Here is a 5,408-nt window from a genome sequence, read left to right on the forward strand (position 1 = left end):
GTACCTGGGATTACAGGCATATGCCACCATGCCCAGTTAAATTTTATATTTTTAGTACAGACAAGGTTTCATCGTGCTGGCAAGGATGGTTTCGAGCTCCTGACCTCAGGTTATCCACCCATCTTGGCCTCCCAAAGTGCTGGGATTACATGTGTGAGCCACTGCGCCCAGCCTCATCTATATTTTCCAGGAAATTTACAAAGCTCTAAATTTGCCAGGCGTGGTGGCTCACACCTGTAATCCCAGCACTTTGGGAGGCTGAGGCAGGTAGATTGCCTGAGCTGAGGAGTTCGAGACCAGCCTAGGCAACACGGTGAAACCCTATCTCTACTAAAACACAAAAAATTAGCCGGGCGTGGTGGCATGCGTCTGTAGTCCCAGCTACTTGGGAGGCTGAGGCAGGAGAATTGCTTGAATCTGGGAGGCAGAGGTTGCAGTAAGCCGAGATCGCCCCACTGCATTCCAGCCTGTGCAACACAGGGAGACTCTGTCTCAAAAAAAAAAAAAAAACAAAAACAAAAACCTCTAAACTTACATGACTTACACACACATGACAATGCAGTTGTTTGACCAGTTCTCTGGTCGTAAAATTAGGGTAAGGGTGCTGTGCATATTTCTCATTAAGTCTGCACAATTCTTCCTCAGGAAATTTATCTTTGTGTTTTGTTTTTCCTCTTATTTTCTGTTCCCCTTACTTTATAACGCCATCCTCTTCAGCAATGGAACCTAATAGAAAGATGGAGATAGATAAGCATTGAAGACTGTGGCTCACACTTGTAATCCTAGTACCTGTAATCCCAGCTGAGGCAGGAAAGTCACCTGAGGCCAGGATTTCGAGACCAGTCTGGGCAATATAGTGAGACTCCATTTCTATTTAAAAAAAAGAAAAGAAAAAAAGAGTACTGGTAGTATTCAGAGAGAAAATGATTAATCACAACAATGTTGGTACAACTGACTACCTGTTTATAGTGTAGAATTAGGGCCTCACAGCCATTCACAATAATAATATTACAAATGGAAGCAGGGGTTGGCAAACTATTACAAATGGGCCCTATCCAGCCAGTTTCAGTTTTTATAAATAATTTTCTTGGGACACTAGCCACACCCATTTATTTACCTATTGTCTATGGCTGCTTTTAAGCCGAAATGACAGAGCTGAGTACTTGAAACTCCACTTTGCCCAATGCCCAAAATGTTTACTTTTTGTTGTTTGTAGGGAAAGTTTGCCAAGCCCTGGATTACAGAATTTATCTTTAAAATTAGGAGTAAATAAATGAGAATACTGTATAATTCCATTAATATTTTATATAAAACAGACAAAACTAATCTTTGCTGTGGTTAATTTATTTTATTTTATTTTGAGATGGAGTCTTACTCTGTCACCCAGGCTGGAGTGCAGTGGCACAATCTCGGCTCACTGCAACCTCCGCCTCCCGAGTTTAAGCGATTCTCCTGCCTCAGCTTCCCCAGTAGCTGGGATTACAGGCATGTGCTGCCATGCACAGCTAAATTTTTTGTGTGTTTTTAGTAGAGACTGGGTTTTACCATGTTGGCCAGCCTGGTCTTGAACTCCTGACCTCAAGTGATCCACCCGCCTCGGCCTCCCAAAGTGCTGGGATTACAGGCGTGAGCCACCATGCCCAGCTATGCTGTGGTTAAAAGTAAGGATATGAGCTACTGGGGGAAGGGTATCAGTGCCTTAAAGGGAACCAAAAGTAGGCTCCTGAAGTCAGGTAATATTATCTTTCTTTATCTGAATGTTTGTTCCATGAGTTTGGTTGTTTTGTGACAATTTATTAAACTGACTATGTATGATACATGGTCTTTTGGGTATGTGCACTATATTTCAATAAAGTTTATTTTCAATAGCCTACATGTCTTATCTAACCTGTACTCCTCCTGCCTTTCCTCTCTGACATCATTTTCTACTGTCCACCCCTCCGCCTCACATAGGCACCATCTAGTGGTATTGGCCTCCTTGCTTTTTCTTAAACATCTCAGGCTCCCTCTCACCTCAAGGCATTCCAACCTCTGCCTGCAAAGCTTCCTGACCTCTCATGATCCCCATATCCCTTGAATCACTCCTTCATCCCCCTCTCAGCCTTTGCCAGGTGGCCTTTTCAGATAGGCTTACTTTCATCTACCTATTTAAAGCTGCAATTCTCCAAAAATTCCTAATCCCCCTTATTTTATTTCCTTTTTTCACAATGCTATATTTTCTCAGTAATAATTTCTATTTCACTTATGATTACTTTCTGACCCTCTCACCCCTTCCCAAACACACTAAATTGAAAGCTCCAGAGATTGTTGGATTTTGTCTATCTTGTTTACTGATATTGTCTCAGAGCCTAAAATAATGCCTTACAAAAGTAAGCACACAATGAATATTTGTTGACTGGATTAATTAGAATGAATAGGTATGGATCAGGCCCAAAGTGTCAAGCACTGACGTAAAAGCCCTGAGCAAGATAGGCATGCCCCAGAAATAGAAATAGCAAGGCAGAGACTATGAGTGGAGTAGAGCGAGTGCATGCAGGGAAGGAGGAAGCGAGGTTACAGAGTAGATGGAGGTCAAATCATGAAGGGCCATGGGGCCAAGCATGGTGGCTCATGCCTGAAATCCCAGCACCTTGGGAGGCCGAGGTGGTGGATCACCTGAGGTCGGGAGTTCAACCTCAGCCTGACTGACATGGCAAAAAGCCATCTCTACTAAAAATACAAAAATTAGCTTGGCCTACTGGCACGTGCCTGTAATCCCAGCTACTGGGGAGGCTGAGGCAGGAGAATCACTCGAACCCGGGAACAGAGTTGCAGTGAGCTGAGATAGCGTCACTGCACTCCAGCCTGGGCAACAGAGCAAGACTTCATCTCAAAAATAATAATAAAAATAAAATAAATAAATAAAAATAAAGGGCCATGAAGCCATTGTAGGGCTGACTTTTGTATGAAATGGAATCAGAGGGAAGGTCCAGAACTAGGTAAGGCAAGTGAAAACTCACCTGGAATGCAGAAAGAGACCCAGTAATGAAGATAAAAAGTATTTTAATCTAACAGTTTATAAAGAATGAAATTGACAAACTATAGCCAACACAATGGATATTTGTTGTTTATAAATAAAGTTTTATGAAAAACAGTGCCAGGATATGATTTACCAGTGAAGTGGCTTCACTTGTGCAAGTTAGAGTTAGATCCTGATATTATTTAAAACTTCGATATCTTGTTCATCGTGAATTTTTGCACAAATTTTTAGTTTTTTAAATGTTGCCATAATATATTTATTGGATTTCCAGTTTCTGATCTGGCATGTAAGATGCTTGGAGGTCATCACTCCCATCCACAAAACATAAAAAAAAAACCAGTTAAACTGAAAATCAATAACTCTTCCTAGATTTATGAGAGAAGTGAGGTCACAGGCAAACTGCTGCCCTTTAAATTGAAGACAGACAGGAAGATGCAGAGAATCAAAACAAGGAGCAGAAACTGACTAGCAGAAACCATTGGCAGAATAGGAAAAGCTGCACTGCAATCAAGAGTTGCTGGAAGCACAGTATGGCCAGGCTTGAGAGTTAAAAATGCCAGGATAGTCCAGCCTTTGTTGGCTTTAGTCCCAAGAGTCCTACCAGGTTCTCAAAGTAAAGATCAGAGAAAATTCTCCTTGTGCTTTATGTAGGATGAGAGGAAAAGTAGACATTATGAAATATGCTCAGAGCATTCTCTTCTTCTTAAGGGATGCCCTCGAAAGAACCTATTTCACCAGAGCCTTCCCAACAGGGATTTTACCAGAACCTAGCTGATGTAAGAGAAGCAAAATTGCTAACTGCAATTGGGCAAGAATATGAAAGTAAAGGTGTTATATTGGAAAGGAAAAAGTGAAAATTTTCAGATGACATGACCTCTCATAGAGAAAATCCAAAGGAATCTAAAGACTGTTATAGCAAGTAAATGAGGTTGTAGAATGCAAGATCAAAAATTTTAAAAATCAGGCCAGGTGTGGCAGCTGACTCCTGTAATCCCAGCATTTTGGGAGGCCCGGGTGGGCAGATTGCTTGAGTCCAGGAGTTTGAGACCAGCCTGGGCAACATGGTGAAACCCTGTCTCTATTTTAAAAAAAGAAATAAACAATCAGTTTTATTTCTGTATACTGGCAATGAACAATTCAAAAATGAAAATAAAATAAACCTATACACAATATCATCAAAAAGAATAAAATACTTAGAAATATATTTAACAAAAAGATTCAACATATGCACACTGAAAACTTCAAAATGTTATTAAAAGAAAATATAAAAGATCTAAATAAATGGAGAAATATCCCATGTTTATGGATTGGAAGACTTAAACTCCCAAAAAGAGATCAACTAATACTCCCAAAAGAGATCAACAGATTCAATTCACTTCCTATCAAAATTTCAACAGCCTTTTTGCAGAAATTTACAAGCTGAACCTAAGATTCATTTAGAAATGCAATGGACCCAGAATAGCCAAATTAATCTCGAAAAAGAAGTACAATATTGGAGGACTTACGCTTCCCAAATTCAAAACTTACTACAAAGATATAACAATCAAGAAAGTGTGGGCTGGGCGCATGGCTCACGCTTCTAATCCCAGCACTTTGGGAGGCCGAGGCGGGCAGATCACGAGGTCAGGAGATCGAGACCATCCTCGCTAACACAGTGAAACCCCGTCTCTACTAAAAAAAATACAAAAAATTAGCCAGGTGTGGTGGCAGGGGCCTGTAGTCCCAGGTATGCAGGAGGCTGAGGCAGGAGAATGGCTTGAACCCGGGAGGTGGAGGTTGCAGTGAGCCAAGATTGTGCCACTGCACTCCAGCTTGGGTGACACAGCGAGACTCTGTCTCAAAAAAAAAAAAAAAAAAAAAAAGAAAGAAAGAAAGAAAGTGTGGTACTGACATAAGACAAAACTTATAAATCAGCTGAATAGAATTTAGAGTCCAGAAATAAACCCATACATCTATGATCCATTGAGTTCAACACCAATGCCAAGACAAATTCAATGGGAAAAGTATAGTCTTTACAAGAAAAGGTATTAGAACAACTGGCTATCCACAAGGAAAAGAATGAAGTTGAATATCTATCTCAAGTTACATACAAAAATTAATTCAAAAGGGAAGGAAGGCCTAAGCATACAAGTCAAAACTATGAAACCATCAGAAGTAAGCTTACCTGACCTTAGATTAGGCAACAGTTTCTTAGACATGATACCTAAAGCAGAAGTAACGAAACAAAAACTAGATAAATTGGCTTCATCAGAATTAAAAACTATTGTGCATCAAAGAACACTGTCAAGAAAGTTAAAAGTCATCACATGGTACGGGAGAAAATATTGATAAATCATTTATCTGTTATGGATTTAATATGCAGAATATACAAAGAATGGTTAAAACTCAA

This window comes from Homo sapiens, chromosome 10 (assembly GCF_000001405.40).
Source record: "Homo sapiens chromosome 10, GRCh38.p14 Primary Assembly".
Classification (NCBI taxonomy): domain Eukaryota; kingdom Metazoa; phylum Chordata; class Mammalia; order Primates; family Hominidae; genus Homo; species Homo sapiens.